The 20214-nt window shown below is 45.6% G+C and overlaps 1 protein-coding gene across 3 annotated transcripts in view, besides 6 other annotated features; it reads left to right on the top strand.

Moving 5' to 3' along the window:
* KLHL3 (kelch like family member 3) overlaps positions 1 to 20214 on the top strand; it is a 118590-nt gene that overhangs the window by 37923 nt on the left and 60453 nt on the right. For all 3 annotated transcript variants that reach the window (NM_017415.3, NM_001257194.1, NM_001257195.2), the window contains one exon: positions 5720 to 5882. In NM_017415.3, the coding sequence (NP_059111.2) occupies positions 5720 to 5882 (163 nt within the window). The remainder of the gene's footprint in view (positions 1 to 5719; positions 5883 to 20214) is intronic.
* Positions 929 to 3889: an enhancer, noted in NCBI's record as "VISTA enhancer hs2181". NCBI's record gives its function as "enhancer in: blood vessels[9/9]" and the evidence as "EXISTENCE:transgenic organism evidence [ECO:0001131][PMID:17130149]".
* Positions 2501 to 2701: a silencer, noted in NCBI's record as "peak5487 fragment used in MPRA reporter construct". NCBI's record gives its function as "represses an SCP1 promoter by STARR-seq MPRAs in K562 erythroleukemia cells {active_cell/tissue: K562}" and the evidence as "EXISTENCE:reporter gene assay evidence [ECO:0000049][PMID:32103011]".
* Positions 9895 to 10629: an enhancer, noted in NCBI's record as "NANOG-H3K27ac-H3K4me1 hESC enhancer chr5:137023227-137023961 (GRCh37/hg19 assembly coordinates)". NCBI's record gives its function as "activates a minimal SCP1, AML or CMV promoter by ChIP-STARR-seq in naive H9 embryonic stem cells {active_cell/tissue: H9 hESC(naive)}" and the evidence as "EXISTENCE:reporter gene assay evidence [ECO:0000049][PMID:30033119]".
* Positions 13213 to 13507: a silencer, noted in NCBI's record as "tiled region #14679; K562 Repressive non-DNase unmatched - State 22:ReprW". NCBI's record gives its function as "represses a minimal TATA promoter and a strong SV40 promoter by Sharpr-MPRA in K562 cells {active_cell/tissue: K562}" and the evidence as "EXISTENCE:reporter gene assay evidence [ECO:0000049][PMID:27701403]".
* Positions 13482 to 13727: a silencer, noted in NCBI's record as "fragment chr5:137020129-137020374 (GRCh37/hg19 assembly coordinates)". NCBI's record gives its function as "represses an EF-1alpha promoter that drives an FKBP-Casp9 reporter gene in an ReSE screen in phorbol 12-myristate 13-acetate-treated (for megakaryocytic differentiation) K562 erythroleukemia cells {active_cell/tissue: K562(+PMA)}" and the evidence as "EXISTENCE:reporter gene assay evidence [ECO:0000049][PMID:32094911]".
* Positions 18720 to 18920: a silencer, noted in NCBI's record as "peak5486 fragment used in MPRA reporter construct". NCBI's record gives its function as "represses an SCP1 promoter by STARR-seq MPRAs in K562 erythroleukemia cells {active_cell/tissue: K562}" and the evidence as "EXISTENCE:reporter gene assay evidence [ECO:0000049][PMID:32103011]".

Here is a 20214-nt window from a genome sequence, read left to right as displayed (position 1 = left end):
CAGAGAGGTCAGGTGACCTGCCCTGGGCCACATGGCCAGGAGGTGGTCGAGCTGGTCCTCAAACTCATGCCTTCCTGGCTTGGGCACCCATGCTTTTAGCCACTAGGCCATGATATCCCTGAATGAGCCTGGGCCCCGGGAGTAGAAGATCTTTAACTCATGTCTTCAAAATCTTGTGAAGGAAAAGCTGGGAGCTTAGGTGACTCCTATTCTCCCCAGGTCATCGTCTCATCTCAGAATTCAAACAGGTGAATAACTTTTGGGTACTAACAGTAAGTGCAAAGTAATTTGGCATAAAATGAGTAGAGGGGAGGTAGTAGAAGTCTATAATTGGAACCAGCTCTCTTTGCTCTTTTCATCATGTATTTATTTAATAACTTTTTTTTCCTGTAAAATACAAAGTGTTTACAAACTTGGATAATTAGAAGATATTCTACTCTGGATCCTTATTGCCTGGTTAGGATTAAGAGGTACATAAAGCAAGGTACAGTTTATGTGGACATAATGTTCACTGTTTGGTGGTCCTGAGTCCAGAAGCTTCTGTCTTATGAGGTTGGGTTATGTCACCCTCCCAGCATGTGGATGCATTCACCAAACTGAAAATTCTCTGAACCTCATTGTTTGGGGACTTTTAATCTCTTCACTTTAAACTGTGGTTAGGTCAAGGGTGATGTTGGAGAAAAAACAAGAAAGATTGGCAAGGGGCTGGGCATGGTGGCTCACACCTATAATCCCAGCGCTTTTGGAAGCTGAGGCAGGCAGATCACCTGAGGTAAGGAGTTCGAAACCAGCCTGGCCAACACAGTGAAACCCTGTCTCTACTGAAAAGACAAAAATTAGCTGGGCGTGGTGGCAGGTGCCTTTAATTCCATCTACTTGGGAGGCCGAGGCAGGAGAATCACTTGAACCCAGGAGGCGGAGGTTGCTGTGAGCTGAGACTGCACCACTGCACTCCAATCTGGATGACAGAGCGAGACTCTGTCTCCAAAAAGAAAAAAAAAAAAAGATTGGGAAGAAGAGAGTTTGGATAAAAACATGGATTCTTCTTCATGCTGTTATGTATCTGCTGAGGCGGTTGCTCACAGGTTGTCTGTGAAGACAGGAGGTATTGAGGATTTGGTGCACCGAGGAGATGAGCATGGAGGCACTGGGGCTTTCCTGAAAGCCTTAGAAACAAGGGTCAGAGATCTGGGGCTTGGTTAAATGGCTGTGAGAGCTACACCTGGAGTCCCTTCCCAGGCACACGTACCTTGGAGGGACCCTGAGTTCCTGTTCCGTGGTGGAGGTACCAGCAGTCATACTTTTATAAGCAAGCATGTGCCCATCAATTCACATGCATTATTCCATTCAATTTTTATAATCACCCATTGGACCATACCAATATGATTCCTCCTTTACAGCTGAAGAAACTGGTGCTCAAAGGGGTTAAATAAACTGCCACGGTCACATAGAGAGTAAGTGGTAGAGTTGGAAGCTGAAGCCAGCCCCCTCTGACTCACTGTGCTCTGTGGCTATGATGAATTCTAGTTTCTCATGAAATGAATGATCAGAACCTTGACTTTGGCTCATAATTATTTACAATAATAAAAACTAACATCAACTGAGCACTTCCTATGTACCAAGCACTGTGCTAACTGCTTTAAATTTTTCTCATTTGATCCTCATAACAAACCTTATTGTCCTCATTTTATTTTTGAGGAGACAGAGGCATTGAGAGGTTAAGTAATTTGTCCTCAGTTGCATGGCTGGTAAGTGGAGGAGTCAAAATTCAAAATGACGCTTAATCACAGTGCTGTTCTGCCAGCTTTCCTGTTCATCTATATACCCCCCCACCTCTTTTCCTTTCTTTCTTTATGTGGCACTGATTCTGTGCCAGACCCACTGTGTGATTGGGGCAGAGACCCTGGGTGGCCCCAACACCTGCGCCCCCTGGCTGATGCCCTCCCTCTGTGCATGGCCCTGCCTCCCTGCAATTCCAGGAGAAGGTGCTTTCTGAGGCAGGGCATTTCCTTTTGTTTTTGCTAGAGGAAGCAAACTCTGTGGCAGGATATCCTCTGCTGTGTTTTCATGTTATCTGAGGAAGAAAAAAAAACAAAACGGGGCCTGCACATGAAAAATGGAGGGGAAGCCATTGCAAGCTGAAGGGTAACCTGTAGACTCTTGCTGGGGGCCATTTCAGGGCCTGTTTTCCAAGAACTGTAATGCTGAGGTGGCAGAAGGCAAGCTAGAAGATTTTTGACTTACGGTAATCTTCCATCCTGATGGGTGGATTTGGCCAACTACTCCTCTGATCTCAGCCTCCTCCCTCCAGGGACCAGGCAGTACTGCCTTAGTTATTCTATGAGGATGGTCTTGCTTCAGAGCTGAGGACCTGCACTTGGCCTTTTGTTCATAATCTTGTCACTGCTGCTGCTTTGAAGAAGTAGAGTTTCAGGCAAGATAAGAGAAGAGGAAGTCCTCTCAAAGCCCTGTTGATGTGGGGAGAGGGAACTGAAGACAGTCATTTCATGGATGTATTGCTCTTTTTTCTTTCAGGGCCTCTGGGAATGTATTTTGTACTTGTGTCTAGATCCCAGAACCCCATTGGATGGGGCCCTAATTTATCCCTGAGACCCAGAGTCTGAGCAGTGATACATCTTCCAGCCTCCAAGCCTTCCCTTCAGCATTCTGATTTCCTTGACTTTTTTTTCCCACACTTTTCTGTATGAAGCAAGTAGAAGGAAGAAAATGGCCTTTGACTCTAAGCTAGTCTCAGAGTCAAAGAGAGGGAAAGAGCAACTAGAGAAACCAGAAGGCCCATTCATTTTAGGAAGTCGGTTTGGGAAGGCTTTTGGGTAGGAGTGGACTCAAACAGGATAAGGGGTGTGGAGAGGTAGAAAGCCTTATAATTTTTGCCTACTAAGTGGGTATTGTGAACAGTAGGGAAGTTGAAAGCCATGTGGGTAGCTCTATCCAGGGAGGTTTTAAAAATGGAAAGTGTAACCTAAGGAGTATATTCAGGAAATATTTATTATTTCATTTCTCTGGCTGGTTGTCATGAGCTTGAGAATTTAAGCACCACACTGTGCTGCTGTCTCCTTGGAAGAGGGGAAGGGGGAAGGGACTGTGTGTCACTGGCATGATCTTGTATATGCGTATGGGGTTGGGGAGCTCGCTGGAATGCAGTCTGAGGGCAGATTGGACTCTCAGAAATCCTCTTGGATGGTGGGTGGTGGGGAGAGGGTTGCTGTTGAATTCCTGCCTCTTCTCACATCTGGCCCTTTTGGAGTTTACCACACCTCTGAGTAGGGTTTGTGCTGGCCAACATTTGATGGCTTCCTCTCCCTCAGGGCTTCTGAGGGTCACTGGTTAGAGGTTACTCCTCCCTAGGATGAACACCTATCCTATTTTGCCCAGAAGCGAGGGGCCTTCTGAGAGGGGGACTTTCAGTGGTAAAAATGGCAAAGTCCCAGGTAAATCAGCATGATTGGTCAACCTATGGCCTTGACACCAGTCTTAACTCTAGCTGATACTGGCCAGGGGGTGTCATGGAGGTCATTTGGAGACTGGGAGCAGAGCTTTTTATTCCTGGTGTGCATTCAGCAAGAATGGTTAATGGATCCCCATTTGACTAGCAGGCAGAGACTAATCTGGTCCTGGAATCTGTTCGGCCGGGCTGAGCAAGCTCACAGGTTAATTGAGTTTCCCAGTTTATGGCTGCTTAGAGGAGATGATGGCTGCTTAGTGGGGAGAGAGTTCAGGTGGTTAGATTTGGATCCTGGCTGTGTTCATTTATAGTCCAAAACTTTCAGAAGAGGGTGATTTTATCTTTTTCTTTCTCAGGAATGTATTAGTGGTTCAGAAAATATCACAGACATGGTGTTAATTTACTGTTTTCCTGCTGGGGATATAGGATAGTGGAAGAGAGGATGGAGGAAGGGAAAAGGAGCACGTTTTCTAGAACTCAGCTGTCGTGAGAGAGAAGTGTAAGCCTGTGGGTAGGAGCAGCTTTCCTTGTTGAGCGTAGGCATTTGGCTCAGGAGTTCGAGCACTGATAGTGGTGGCTCTTGGTGGTTATTGTCTGTGGGCAGGGATAATGAAGGGTGACCGACTGTCCCATTTTTAGCCCTGAAAGTCCTGGGAAACCCCCAGTCCTGGAAAAACTAGGACTGTTGGTAAACCCAGTGGAGGGACAAAGCCCCCAAATGGGCAGTGGGGCAGAGTTTTTGGCCTGAGTACATAAAAGTGATGAGAGTCAGAGCTGAGGACTCAGAGCTGTCTTGGGAGAAAGAGTCCAGAATTTAAAGCACTTAAAAAAAAAAAAAAGAAGTCTTTTTCAAGTGTCCTGAATCAAGAAAACAAATGCATCTGCAGCCCATATCTTCCTGGGCAAGCCCTTGTGGCTGGGAACAGCTAGAGTGTAGCTGGCTCAGTCACTCTCTCAGAGCCAGGGCAGCAGCTGAGAGCAAAGGCCTGGGGCAAGGGGATTATTTTGGGGTGAAGTGGATGCCAGGGTCCCCAAGATAAGCAGCCTTAAATCAAGCTATTCTGTAGTGTGATTTTTTTTCTAAATTTCTTTTTGGAAAATCATTCTCAGACTACCTGCTGCTTCCATAGGTGAAGGGCAGGGTAGCAGAGCTGGAGTGGGACAGGACTTTGGCCTTTTGTCCTGTATGTTTGATCTAGAGGCAGGCTTCAGCAGCTGAGGGAAAGTCCTAGGGAAAATTGATAGAGGTTGGCTGTCTGAGCACCCAGCGGGCCTGCTCAAGCCAGTCTTCCCTGACCCTTAGGAAAAACACATGCATATACACCTGAGCAAGAACTATTTCTGTCTTTCAGGATATAGTATAAATAGTCATGTGTCCTGTGACCTTTTAAATGGAAACTTAGCTCTCCTTTCTCTAAGAATGTACCTAAAGATGTTCTTTGCTTTGTATCTGTTTGATGGGAGAATAAAGTGTCGTTGCCTGAGTCCTGAGGGATTTGGAATGAATCTTGTTCCAGTAGACTCTAAGCTCCAGGAGAACAGGATCTGGTTTCTCTTGCTTACCCCTGAATCCCAGAGCCTAAACTAGTGCCTGGCACATAGATGTTCAGTAATTAATCATTCATTAAGTACCTTTCTGAATGAGGACAGTACACTGAAGGTTGTGGGACAGTGGCTCTCAAACGTGGCTGTACATTAGAAGCACCTGGGGAGCTTTAAAAAACATCTTAATGTCCAGGCCACACTCCATACCTATTGAGTTAGATTCTTTTAGGGCAAGACCTAGACATCAGTAGTTTTAAAACTCTTAAGGTAATACCAGTGTGCAGCCCAGTATGAGAACCATTGTGTGTGTGTGTGTGTGTGTGTGTGTGTGTGTGTAGAGTTTTGTTACTCAAAGTGTGGTTTGTGGACCAGCAACTGCAAGCATCACTTGAGTTCTTATTAGAAATGCAGGCTCTCAGATCCCATCCTAGACCTAATGAATTAGAATCTGCATTTTAATAAGATCCCCAGGGATTAAAGACTGGGAAGCATGGCTGTAGGGATACAGAGAATCTGCTGGTGTTTAGGGTCCGTGAAGGGCAGAGTAGTGGGAAATAAGGCTGGAAAGCAGGCTAGGAAGTTTGGACTTACTGGCGGGCAGTGGAGAGCCATGAAAAGATCTTGAGCATGGGAGTGATATGATAGGAAAAGGCAGATGAGTCTCTGCCAGTGGGATCCAATATCTGAGAATGTCACCTTCTCTTGCAGGTGCTGCTCCCGGCAGCCAGCTTGCTGCAGCTCATGGATGTTCGGCAGAACTGCTGTGACTTCCTGCAGTCTCAGTTGCATCCCACCAATTGCCTGGGCATCCGTGCATTTGCAGATGTACACACCTGCACTGACCTTCTGCAGCAGGCCAATGCCTACGCAGGTAAGGGGGAGCCGGACTGCTGCACCTCCTCCGAGTTTGTGGATCTAATCACCTGGTCTTCTGCAGACTCCTCAAAGATTATGAGAAGTGGTCTCTGCTGTGAAGCAGCTATGATTTAGTTAGGGATACAGGTGGAAAGATAATTAATGATAGGACAGTTTAGCTCATTGCCAAGTGGAAAATGATTAATTGCCAAGGGGATGGTACAGACAGTAATTTTCACTAGAGTAGAGGAAGGAGATCCAAGAAGATTTGGGGAGTGGGGAGAGCAAACTGAGCTAGGTCTTGAGCTACGTCTTGTTATTGTTAAGAAAAGCTTTGTTTTTATCTGAGCGTTCCATAAACATTCTTTTAAAAGTCACGTACTGGCTGGGCGCAGTGGCTCACGCCTGTAATCCCAGCACTTTGGGAGGCTGAGGCAGGCGGGTCATGAGGTCAGGAGATCGAGACTATCCTGGCTAACACGGTGAAACCCCCGTCTCTATTAAAAATACAAAAAAAAAAAAATTAGCGGGGCTTGGTGGCGGGCGCCTGTAGTCCCAGCTACTTGGGAGGCTGAGGCAGGAGAATGGTGTGAATCCGGGAGGCGGAGCTTGCAGTGAGCCGAGATTTCGCCACTGCACTCCAGCCTGGGTGACAGAGCGAGACTCCATCTAAAAAAAAAAAAAAAGTCACGTACTATTGCAGGGCTTATAACGATGAGGAGTGCCCTGCTCCACCTTTCCACACTGAGTCTTGTGCTCCAGAGCCACTCATTTTCAATCCTTAAGGAATTAAAATGCAGGTTCTGATCCAGCTAAAAGCTACTTCATCTGCTACTCACTTCCATTTATCAAAATAATATGTGCAACTGCTATTTTTTGATTAGTTTTAGATATTATTTGTTGACTTCTCCAGAAGAATAAGATTGAGCTTTTGCAGACTTTCCCTTTATACACATGCAGCCACCCCCCTCTTTATTGTCCAAATACCATTTCCACAACTGAACTAAGCCATCTATTATAATTATAGTGTTTTTTTAAATCAGAAAACTTTAATAAGAAGGGCAGTTAATAATTGTCTTTTTCTCTTGCATAGTGTATGGTTCTACCACTAATTCTTGTTAGAACAGTCCTCAATACATCAGATAATCTGTTGGTTCACTTATTTTTCTTGGAGACATTCTCTGCACTAGAGCTTGTCATTCTATTATTTTAATGGGGTTTTGGGAGGGAGTAGAAATGAACATTTATATTCAGTCCATTATGTTTATTTAGCTAGCTGGAAAGAAATCTTCATTGCCACTTGTTCCAGCCTGAAGAAAGATGGTGAATGACTAGGAAATAGGTCTGATCATTTAACTTGATAAATTCAGTCATGGCCACCTTCTTCCCTTGCAATAAAACACCTCCTTCTTACCCCTGCTCAAGCACTGTCATGGCTGCTATTCTGTTCCGTGTCTCCTGTTTGGCCAGTGTCTGGAAATTAGCTGAGGACCTACTGGCTGCCCACCTGCCAGCTAGCTACCTGTGCTGTGTTAGCCTCTTGGTCAACAAAGCAACAAGCATTTGCTCCATTTCTTGGCATGCTTTTTCTCTCTGATTAAGTCCCTGACCCCAGGAGCCTGCAGAGACTCTCATGTCTCCCTGCAGCCTGTTTCTGAAGGCACAAACAAGTCTTCTTTCTGAAGACTTGTAAAGATAGTCTTGATATGATGATTTTTGTGAAGGACATTACCCAGTAGCCTCAATTCTGAGTCCTGCTGATTCTTTCTGGCTCTGAACCTTGACCCTTCTGCTTCTCTGCCGTTCCTGTGCTCTCTTTTCCCTGCATATTCTCCACTGCCTTTCCACCTTCACTTAGGGAGCCCTTTCTCTTCCTGGGGAGGGCTCCCAGTGAAGCCTTTGAAGAGGTCACTTTCTAGATGGATGGGTGTGCTAAGGCAAGCATTTTCTCTGCAGATTTTTTTTTTTTTTTTTGAGATGGAGTCTCGCTCTGTCGCCTGGGCTGGAGTGCAGTGGTGCAATCTCGGCTCACTGCAAGCTCCGCCTCCTGGGTTCACGCCATTCTCCTGCCTCAGCCTCCCGAGTAGCTGGGACTACAGGCGCCTGCCACCACGCCAGGCTAATTTTTTGTATTTTTAGTAGAGATGGGGTTTCACCGTGTTAGCCAAGATGGTCTCGATCTACTGACCTTGTGATCCGCCTGCCTCAGCCTCCCAAAGTGCTGGGATTACAGGCGTAAGCCACTGTGCCTGGCCTGCAGATTCTTTTCACAAACGTTTGCTAGTGCAGTGGCAAAGGGAGAGTGCTTAGATGTCAGAAATTCTGTCTCCTTCTTCTGTGTCTCCTCTTACCAGCCCTCTCCTTCCACATAGTGTGTGATGCATGTGTGTGTACACCTAGCACATATCCCACCCTAATTGGCTGATACAGTTGTCTGAGGTTTGGGGAGTATACTGAATCCCCACCTTTTTTAAAATTTAAAATTACATTCTAGATTCAAGAGGTACATATGCAGGTTTGTTATGTTTGTATATTGTGTGATGCTGAGTTTTGGCTTCTGTTGATCCCATTACTCAGATGGTGAACATAGTACCCAATAGGAAATTTATCAGCCCTTGCCCCCACTCCCTTTGGAGTCCCCAGTGTCTGTTTTTCCCATCTTTATGTCCATAGGCACCCAGGGTTTAGCCCACTTACAAGTGAAAACACGTGATATTTGGTGTTCTGTTTCTGTGTTAATTAACTTAGGATAATGGCTTCCAGCTGTGTCCATGTTACTGCAAAGGACATGATTTTGTTCTTTTTTATGGCTGCGTAGTATTCCATGGTGTACCACATTTTCTTTATCCAATCCATTGTGGATGGGCACCTAGATTGATTGCATGTCTTTGCTATTGTGAATAGTGCTTAATGAACATATGTGTGCATGTGTCTTTTGGTAGAACAATTTATTCTCCTTTGGGTATATACCCAGTAATGGGGTTGCTGGGTCAAATGGTGGTTCTATTTTTAGTTCTTTGAGAAATCTCCAGACTGTTTTCCACAGTAGCTGAATTAATTTACATTCCCACCAGCAGTATATAAGCATTCCCTTTTCTCTGCAACCTTGCCAGCATCTGTTGTTTTTTGACTTTTTAATAATAGCCATCCTGACTGGTATGAGATGGTATCACTTGGTAGTTTTGATGTGCATTTCTCTAATGTGAATCCCCACCTTTATTAGGGCTCCCAGGCTCTTCTGGCCTGGCTTTTCCCAACTTTCAACGTCTGTGTTTTCTCCTTTGCCCCTTTCACTATCTGATGATGAGACTCATCTGTGGGAGAGTGCAGCAGATGCAGCTGGGAACACATCCATCTTTCTGGTGCTCCTTGGTCCTGTTGCTGTTATAGTGATTGAGTTCTGTCTGCATTATGGGTCTGTGTATGCAGACATCCTGATGAATTATTCTTAGCTAGTGTTTATTGAGCTCTCCCTTTGGGTCATACCCTATGCTAAGCATTTTATTGGCAACATCCCGTTTAATGCATATGATAGCTGAGGAAACCAGGGCACAGAGAGGTGAAGTAATTTGTTGAGGTCACATAGTGACAGAAGGGACAGAAGGCAGGATTCAAGCCCAGACGGTGCTGACTCCAGAGCCAGTGTTTATTACATTCTACAGCTTCTAGGCCCAGTTTGGACATAAGGATGCCCTGTGAATCAGTAACTGAGGAGTGCATGTGGCTAGAGTTGGCATTTTCCATTGAAAGCATGTTCCTGGAAGCCTGTGCAATGTAGTCACCAAATCCCAACAACCAGACAGTGTAGACAGACATCCAGCTGTCCGCTAGACACAGGGTATGTCATCATCTTGGGATAGAGGAAGCGCCATGTGGGTGTCTTCTTCTCTTCCCTGTCGGGTGACTTCCTCCCAGACACATGGAGCCTGTTCCCTCACTGAATGAGTGAGCAGGCCCTCCTACTTTTCCTGGCTGGGTCAGCATGATCTTCAGGCTGAGAGTCTCCTCCCTGTTATGCAGGCCTTCTGTGGTGCCTGTGATCCTCTCCTGGGTGGCTTTCTCAGCAGCCCACTATGCTCTGCACACTAGGGAGGTAATATTTTATTTTATTTTATTTTATTTTATTTTATTTTTTTTTATTGATCATTCTTGGGTGTTTCTCGCAGAGGGGGATTTGGCAGGGTCATAGGACAATAGTGGAGGGAAGGTCAGCAGATAAACAAGTGAACAAAGGTCTCTGGTTTTCCTAGGCAGAGGTCCCTGCGGCCTTCCGAAGTGTTTGTGTCCCTGGGTACTTAAGATTAGGGAGTGGTGATGACTCTTAACGAGCATGCTGCCTTCAAGCATCTGTTTAACAAAGCACATCTTGCACCGCCCTTAATCCATTTAACCCTGAGTGGACACAGCACATGTTTCAGAGAGCACAGGGTTGGGGATAAGGTCACAGATCAACAGGATCCCAAGGCAGAAGAATTTTTCTTAGTACAGAACAAAATGAAAAGTCTCCCATGTCTACTTCTATCCACACAGACCTGGCAACCATCCGATTTCTCAATTTTTCCCCCACCCTTCCCGCCTTTCTATTCCACAAAACCGCCATTGTCATCATGGCCCATCCCCAATGAGCCGCTGGGCACACCTCCCAGACGGGGTCGTGGCCGGGCAGAGGGGCTCCTCACTTCCCAGTAGGGGCGGCCGGGCAGAAGCGCCCCTCACCTCCCGGATGGGGCGGCTGGCCGGGCGGGGGGCTGACCCCCCCCCCACCCTCCCGGACGGGGCGGCTGGCCAGGCAGAGGGGCTCCTCACTTCCCAGTAGGGGCGGCCGGGCAGAGGCGCCCCTCACCTCCTGGATAGGGCGGCTGGCCGGGCGGGGGGCTGACCCCCCCACCACCCTCCCGGACGGGGCGGCTCGCCAGGCAGAGGGGCTCCTCACTTCCCAGTAGGGGCGGCTGGGCAGAGGCGCCCCTCACCTCCCGGACGGGGCAGCCAGCCGGGCGGGGGGCTGACCCCCCCACCTCCCTCCCGGACAGGGCGGCTGGCCGACCCCCCCCCGCGCCTCCCTCCCGGACGGGGCGGCTGGCCGGGCAGAGGGGCTCCTCACTTCCCAGTAGGGGCAGCCGGGCAGAGGCGCCCCTCACCTCCCGGACGGGGCGGCTGGCCAGGCGGGGGGCTGATCCCCCCACCTCCCTCCCGGACGGGGCGGCTGGCCGGGCGGGGGGCTGACCCCCCCCACCTCCCTCCCGGACGGGGCGGCTGGCCGGGCGGGGGGCTGACCCCCCCACCTCCCTCCCGGATGGGGCGGCTGGCCGGGCGGGGGGCTGACCCCCCCACCTCCCTCCCGGACGGGGCGGCTGGCCGGGCAGAGGGGCTCCTCACTTCCCAGTAGGGGCGGCCGGGCAGAGGCGCCCCTCAGGGAGGTAATATTTTTAAAGTAGTATAATGCAGAAGATAAGGCCATGATGCAAAGATGTTAGAAGAAGGGAATGAAGGTTAGATTGTGCAGTATTTAGAGGAGAAGTAGAAAATGATTATCCATGCTTACTCCCTTGAACCCACCCACTGACGTGGGCCTGCTTTTTTCCTTGTACCCCTGACTTTAGATGGAGCCTGGGGTTCTCTACCATTGCTGCCTCTTGAGACAGACCTGTGACCTCACTCTACTGTAAGTGCAGGGGTGCAGGCACCCACTAGGGTCACACACAAGGGAAAGCATTGGTCTCTGTGGTCACAGGTCTCCCTGGACCCAGGCCTTGAGTTAGAAGGTATTTCATGCCAACAAACTACAAGGAGACCTTCCAGATCAGAACTAGGAATCAGACCAGCTAACACTTTGGAGCTGAGTAATCCTGAGCCTATTTTCTTCTCTCTATCATGGGAGTAGCGCATCCTATCCTGTTTCCAGGATGATCTGGGGAACAGGGGGAATGGGGAGGAGAGCATTCTATGGAAGTAGACACCACAGGCGCTGTGCTGTGGAGCCTCCCTGCCAGCCTCATCATCTGCAGTGAGGGAGCTTCACAGTTGGGTCCAGGCAGGAGACACAGGAATCCTCAGGTCACTGCTGCTGCAGACCACATGCACTTTTGGGGAGGAAGGATTTCCAGGACTTCTGGTTTTGTTTTCTCTTTATCTAGATGTATAGTGCAGGCAGGTATGTCCTGTCCAGCCTCCCCTACTCTTCCCAGTTTCTGGCTAGCTTTGCTTTGCCTTCACTTGTCTGTAGATTCCAGTTTAGCTGCTGAATTCTGTTTCTTTTCCTTCTCTAAAAAGCTTTCTTTTTCTGTTGTTATTGTTGTTGTTGTTATTATTGCTATTTTAATAAAAACTCATCCCTGACTATTACAGAAAAAGCACATGGGTGGAAAGAATTATACCACAATCCTACCCAGAGAGAACTGCTGGCAGCACCTTGATGTATATCCTTCCAAATCTTTTTCATTGTATATGTATGCTTTCCAGCTTAAAAAACATTTTAGCCAGGTACAGTAGCAGGTGCCTATAGTCCCAGCTACTTGGGAGGTTGAGGTTGATAGCTCAAGCATTCATGTGTAGCTTGAGCCACGGAATTTGAATCCAGCCTGGGTAACATAACAAGACACCCCATCTCTTAAAAAAACATTCTTAGCAGTATATTCTGAATTTCTTTCCATGTTAGCAGATACATTTCTAGACCATTGTTTGAAACATTTAGGTAATATATTCAATAAAAGCAATTTATACTCATGACCAAAAAATGCAAGCAGTACATAGAGGTATAAAATGCAAAGCCAGTCTTCTCCCAGCCTGTCTCTCTGAAGTGGGGAGATCCTTGGTATCCTTACAGAATTTATATATTATGCTTTTTAACTTACACAACAGAAAGCACTCTGTACTCGTTGTACTTTTGTTTGACAATACAAATCTTGCAATTATTTCCACACCCTTGTGTATGGCTATATCTTATTCTTTTAGTCTGCTGCATCTCATGGATGGAGTATAATTTATTTAACCAGTCTTCTGTTGATGGACATTAATGTTTCCAGTTTTTTTATTTAAAATGCTTCCATGAGAATTCTTGTACATAATATTTTGGAGTACACTTGCTAGTATACCTGTAGGGTACAATCTTAGTAGCATAGTTGTTGGATCAAAGAGAATGTACATTAAAAAGTTGTTTGATAGATTTTGCCAACTTGCTGTCTAAACAAATGTGACTTTATTTTAAAGCCAGTCTTGCCTTCTGATAGGTCCTCGGCTTTTCCAGCGAGAGCACAACTTTGTGGGGGCTGAAGCATCATCTCTATGTCCAGCTGCCTATTTGGTTTCCTGTTTGGAAGGGCCCTGTCTCTTCCTGCTGTGGCAGTCCCTCCTGCTTCCTCTGGATTCAGTTTCCCCCTCAGGGAAGTTCCCCAGATCTTTGCTATGATATATGTTATTCTGGGGTAGGGAGGGTAGGTCCCGCATTTAGAAGCTGACTGCTCAGACTCTTGCCTTAGCTAGTGGCATCACAGTCTTCCTGGGCAACTAGTAGCTGGGAAATGGACCCCAGTGTCTTTCACAGCCTGTTTCTTATACCTCATTATTGTTGTTTCCAGGGACTGCTTAATCTTTAACCTCAGAGGCCAGGGCCTAGGGTTATGGGGACTTTGTTGTTTGGTAATTGGACAGCCATACACTGGGCCATCAGCAGAGCTGTTTGGGAGGGATGTTAATGGGACTTCATTAATGAAATAGCAATTAAAATTCTTTGGACATGTTGTTTACATCAGTCTGCCAAAGCTAAGCAAAAACCTCCAGCCATGGGATGGAAAAGCCATTGGATTTCACGTGCTTATGGAGAGAAATGGCCTTTTTTTGATTGATTGAGTCATTTGAGATCATGGAATGAAGTAATTAAGGCAGCAGAAAAATTTGGAAAATCATTAAAAAACATAAATCTCTGACTCAGTGAGAGTCCTCTTCTAAAATTGCTGCTCCTAACTTGTCACCATGAAATAATGATGATCATAATGATGGGCATTTCTATCATTTTTGAATACTTGCTAGGTGCCAGGAATGGTGCTACATGATTCATAGGCATGGCCTCATTTTGTTCATTTAAGTATAAGAGTTATTATTTTCTCAGCTTATAGGTGAAGAAACTGTAACCCCAGAGAAGTTTAGTAACTTGTCCAAGATCATATATTAACAGCTTATAAGTGGCAGTGCCAGAGTGAGGCCAGCTGACTGCAGAGGTCTGTGTCCTAAGCCCCGCTACTTATTTCCCACCCACCCAGACCAGCCTAGCCTATTTTCTATGATGGTTGCCTCACTCCTGCCTCTCTTGGATTTTCTGCATCTAATTTGAAGTTGGCAAATGAGGCAGTCGTGCAGACACAGATAGGTTTCGTTGCTTGCTCTTTGTTAGGATTTTAGGAAACTTCACTTGTTCCATTTTCTGGGTTATGGGGAACCTCACTGTTGAATCAATAGCACTATTATGGCCCTTGGCTGTGTGTATGTGTGTGTGTGTGTGTGCGCGTGCATGTGTGTGTGTGAGAGAGAGAGAGAGAGAGAAAGAGAGCTAGAGAGAGAGAGAGAGAGAAAGAGAGGGAGAGGACAACACATAATATTTCTGGAGTAAGGCAACATGGAAAGAGAGCTTATTTCCTGCCTTCCCAGGGAGTGTGGAGGTAGTAATATTTAGAGTCTGAGGGCTGGTGGTCATGACCCTTCTGAGAAGAGGTCAAGGTGGGTCTCTGTTACTTCCCTGTGGGAACTGAGCCTTTTCCCTAGAGCAGAGAAACTGTGAGCCTGGAAAGCTAAATATTGATTCAAGGAAGCTTGCCTCTGGCCTCTAAAAATAGAGTAATAAGGGGCAGAAGAGAGAGTTTTAAGGCAGTTCTGTGGTTTTGTTTTTTCACCCTGCCAAAATGTTTCCATTTTGTTTGTGTGTCCACCTGTGTCAGCCAGTGTCTCCTGAGGGTGTGACCTGTGGTTCAGTTCAGAGGCACTCACACCTGTTCCCTGGGGCTGCTGGCCCTGGGAATTATGGGGCTTATGGGGTTTATTTCATCTCTGATTGGTAAAACACAATGAGTATGTTCCCGTCCATGTGGATGGGAAATTATGGAGAAGAGGAAGAGGCACCATATAACTTTCAGTCTTTTCCCACCAAGCAACACAAACATATCTTCCCAATGTTAAAAGGATGATAAAATTTGGGTGATACATTCCCAGGCAAGGGCTTTCTCTGGGGGTACAGTTGGGTCTCAGAGAAAGTTGAGGCCATTTCCTAATACTAGCTAACACCATTCTAAGCATTTTACATATATTATGTCTCTCAATCCCCGCAAAGTCAAGGAAGTCACAGATGGGTCATCATTCCATTTGTTCTGAGCTTGTAGGTTAGATGAACCAGATCAAAGGTTTAGGTTTATTTCATTCCGTGAAGAGAGAAGAATAGTCCTGGGGCTAGCTTGAGAGGTTGCCTGAACCCTAGGCAGTCTTGAAGAACAGTCAGGAAAGTGCAGTAATAATTTTAGAGCTCGGTATATACAGATATTATGCTGGAGACTGAGGATTCAGCTTCAAATAACACAGACTTGATCCCTGACCTCATGGGGCTCCCAGTCCGAATAGAATAGAAAGATTCATGTAATAAAGCAGGGTGATTAGGGATATGATTGTTATATCTTGTTTGGGGGGCTTTGGGAACCCCAAAGACTATCACTTCCTCTAGCCTAGTGGATGGGGGGATTAGGGAAATATCTTAATTCTGGGGTTAGGTCTGAGATTTGAACCTAGAACTGACTCCAAAATGCCAAGAAGTTAGGAATTTAGGGACTAAGATTATTCTCTTTTTTCCCCAAAGAAAGGTTTTTAGATGCATATCCTCTGTCTATGCCTCTCTCTCTCTCTCTCTCTCTCTCTCTCTCTATGTCCAGCACCCCTGAGAGGGATTCTTAAGGTTTTCTGATGTCTGTGTTGAATTTTACCCCAGTGGACTGCTCAGGATAGGTGTTTATCTTGGTACCTAAGATACTCATCAGAATATTTGTTATTATAATTGGGCAGTCTTGGTTCAAAACCTGGCTCTACCAGGTTTACTATTCTGTAAACCTAAGCACCTGTCTTAGAGTTTCTGGGCTTCTGTTTCTCCATCTGTAAAATGGGGATGTTGATACTCACTTTAGTAGGGCTTTTGCGGGGATTGAGAGACATAATATATGTAAAATGCTTAGAATGGTGTTAGCTAGTATTAGGAAATGGCCTCAACTGTCTCCGAGACCCAACTGTACCCCCAGAGAAAGCCCTTGCCTGGGAATATATCACCCAAATTTTATTATCCTTTTAACATTGGGAAGATATGTTTGTGTTGCTTGATGGGGAAAAGACTGAAAGTTATATGGTGCCTCTTCCTCTTCTCCATAATTTCCCATCCATATGGACAGGAACATACTCATTGTGTTTTACCAATCAGGACATGGAACTTAAACAATATTTGTTACTTATAGTAAAACCTGGCTAATTAGGACTCTTAACCAGAACTCTTAATTAACTGACTTATTTTTCTCTGTGTCCACCCCTCTTAAAGAAAAAGAAGCGAAACGATAAGAAAAGTTAGTTATTATTGGAGAGTTACCCTTCAAGGGCTAACTCTCCAATAATAACTCTCTTTTAACCCATGGTTAAAAGGTACTATGCCCCCGGCACATGCATCCCTCCCCCAGGATCTAGCCTTGTCTGCCTCTCCATTGCATCTCCAAGAGCCTGCAGAGCTCCTCATACTTAGGGAGTGCTCAGCAAACCTTTGTTGGATGAATGAAGACATCACCTAGGTTCTAGCTAGACTTCACTATTACTGTTCTTTACATATGCTCTGAATTTTCCTGTTCCCTGCCTTTGTTTGTACTGAAAGTACCTCTCTCAGTCATGTGAGAGGTGGACTTTGGGATGGAGTTATTGATGCCTTGTCTTATCTTGCTTGTGAGGCAGTAGGGTCCTTGTAGACATCAGTTCTGGTTTCTTCATTTTTGAAGAAATGCTGCATTTGATACATCATACGTTAAGAGTTATCTAGCACCTGCAATGGACTCAGTAAATGTGAGTCACATCTATTTCTTTATTTAATGCCCATATCACCTTATGTACTATTATTATTTCCATTTAATATATGGGAAACCTGCAGCCTCAAGGAACTGAATAACCTATACCACTGGACAGTTTGTTGAATTCGATAGAATTAAATTTGTTCTCTAAGATCTTGCAGGTCCACAGCCTTGCCCATAGGATCTGCAGTCCCAAAGGATGTCTTAACATTTTTTTTTTTAAATAGAGAGGGGCCTCACTTTATTGACCAGGCTAGTCTTGAACCCCTGACCTCAAATGATCTTCCTGCGCAGCCTTCTAAACTGTTAGGATTATAGGTATGAGCCACTGTGCCTGGTCCCAAGGGATATCTTGATATAGAAAATCTTCTCTGTTAAAGAGTGGTGCTGCCGGCCGCAGTGGCTCACACCTGTAATCCCAGCATTTTGGGAGACTGAGGCGGGTGGATCATCTGAGGTCAGGAGTTCGAGACCAGCCTGACCAACATGGTGAAACCCCGTCTCTACTAAAAATACAAAAGATAAGCTGGGCGTGGTAGTGGACGCCTGTAATCTCAGCTACTTGGGAGACTGAGGCAGGAGAATCACTTGAACCCGGGAGGCAGAGGTTGCAGTGAGCTGAGATCGCGCCATTGCACTCCACCCTGGGCAAATAGCGAAACTCTGTCTCAAAAAAAAAAAAAAAGAAAAAGTGTTGCTGCTCACAGAACTGGACTTTGGAAAGTGGGAACACAGGCTGGTAATATTTATCCTTCATTTCTAAAGAGTTTCTTAAAGCTGTCAAAATGAATTAATATATATTATTATCTTTGGGCTGCAAAACAATCTTGAGACCTATGTCAGGTATTATGATTGCCTTTTATGGATGAGCATGCCATCCATAAAATGGATGGCGAAGCCTGGGAAGAAGTGACTATAAGACATGAACCCAGGTCTTCTGACCCTTAGCCAAGGCTCTTTACTACATTCTCCATTAATACATTAAAAGCAAAACAAAACAAAACAAAAAACCCCAAATAATTGTTCAAAATAGAAGATGATTCAGGAAGGTATCTTCTGGGAGCAAAGTGGGTTCTTTCCAGGAAGCAGCTGTGGAGAGGGCTGACTGGAATACAAAGTCTTCTGGGGAAATCCTATTTCCCAGGAAATGGAGTTAGCTGGAGCATCCTGTTCCTGTCTTTTCTATCCTGTTGTTTCTTGAGTGTTGGTAACAGAGAGGGGACCCTAGTTCAAAGACTTTGGGGGTTACCCCTGTCTCCTCAGACTAAATGGAAACGGGAAGGCATTTTCCTCTTTGATTGCTTTCTTTGTCTCTTTCTGCTTATGCCCTACAAACCTCACAGATCCCTGGGTGCCAGCCCTGGGTGAGAAGCTGCTGCCTGCTATTTCTCTTGTTGCCCCTTCCCCACCAGATACTGCTTCCTGGGAGGATTTCTGAATGGGATTTCAGTGGAAGGTTCCAGATGGGCAGAGAAGCAGCCCACTTCAGAAAGAAGGGGTTTAGATTCAAACCCTGCAGTAGGGGAGGGACAGAGAGATGGAGGTGGGGTGCTGACTACTTTTTGTCTTGATTTATCTCTAAGGATTTCTAATTTGTTCCCCACATCACCTAGAATGTATATTACTGCACTTCCTTTATCTTCCCTTTCAAAATCTAAGCCTATCTACAGTCTTACGAGCTCTAAGGAAATTTTTATTTCACAGCATAGAATTTTACTTTCTTACCTCCTCTTGTTCTTTTCCCTTCTCCGGCTGTCAGCTTTTTGGTCAGCCAACGATACATGTGGGAAGGCCAGATGTGGCTCTGGGCCAGAGATGTTGGTGCTGGTTTGCAGGACTCTCCTGAGAACCGTGTGGTCCTGCTGAGCTCAGCTGTGGCTGGTCCAGAGAGCCTCAATGTCCTGTGCTTGCTCATGGTGTGGTGGCTTGTGTGGTGACTGCTTTTTCTATCTGCTGTTTCTTGGGTGTTACCAATTGACAGGGGACTGTGGTCCAAAGACTTCTGGGATCAGAAAGGGAATGGAGGGAGAATCCAGTACTTTCCCAGCTTCCAGCCCAAGAATAAATTCTTACCATCCAAAGAAGATTGCTCTCTTGCTTTTATTTTAAGATCTTTAGCAATGAACACTTAAAAAATAGTACTATCTAGTCTTAAATATTTCCATAGTTAGGAAGGTTTTTTGAATGTTTAACTTAAAAACTAAAGGCTTTTTTTGTTTTGATATACAGAGAAGCAAAGACCAGCTTCTTACCATGTTGATGTTGACAGTTGGTTTCCTTCGTAAAAAAACTGACTTTCAGATTTGTCTTGTTATGTGTAAATATTCCTGAGTTTCAAGATGGACAACCTTTAGTTGTGACCATAGTAATATCAATAGGCTGGTGTAGAGCAAGTGGGGAGCCCTTTTTGTCCAGTGGAAGATGGAAAATATTGTTTATAACTCAATATTTGAGAGTAAACTGTTAACGTTTAGGGAATCTGGATGAAGGTAGAAATTTGTATGAGAATTATTTGGGTCTGAAATTATTTCAATATAAAAAGTTAAAAATGATTTTCACAAGAAATGATTTAAATCTTAAATTCTTTGTTTGATTTTTATGAAGTTGATGAAGTCAGGTGCAGTGGCTTGTGTCTATAGTCCCAGCTATTCAGGAGGCCGAGGCAGGAGGATCACTTGAGCCTAGGAGATCACGACCAGCCTGGGCAACATAGCAGTGATGCCATTGGCCCAAAAACATAATCATAAATGGCAAAGCCAGGATTTGAACCTAGGCTCCTTCTTTCTGAAGTAGATGACATTTCAGTGAATATAATTCTCTAATAGCAGGATGATGGCCTGGAAAAATGTCAGGGTAGGAATTGTCCCTGGTATTTCCCTTTTGTGGATCTTAGGCCTGTGGGTTTTATCTTATTCTAGTTGTCACCAAATTTCCCTCTGTCTTGAACAGTTCCATAGGCCTGGCTCTGTGGACTGTTCCTAGGGGTAGTAGGGTCACCTTGTTGCCACTATACCTGGATGAATGCTTAGTTGGGCCTCCTCATGAACCAGAGACTCACAATAGTAGGCTTGACTTTGGGCAAGAAAGGATGATCCCATCTACTGACCTTCTAATGTTGACTTCCTATAAGAACCCCCAGAGACCTCTCAGACACACAGCAGTTCTGACCCATTTTTGTTTGGCTGAGCTTCAGGGTGCACTGTCTGCAACTCTACCAGCTTGCACTCTGAGGGGAAATAAGCTCAATTATGGAGGCAGGTCCCAGTGAGGCTTTTCTGC

The sequence above is a fragment of the Homo sapiens genome, chromosome 5 (genome assembly GCF_000001405.40).
Source record: "Homo sapiens chromosome 5, GRCh38.p14 Primary Assembly".
In the NCBI taxonomy this organism is placed as follows: Eukaryota; Metazoa; Chordata; class Mammalia; order Primates; family Hominidae; genus Homo; species Homo sapiens.
This window is presented reverse-complemented; position numbering and strand designations above follow the sequence as displayed.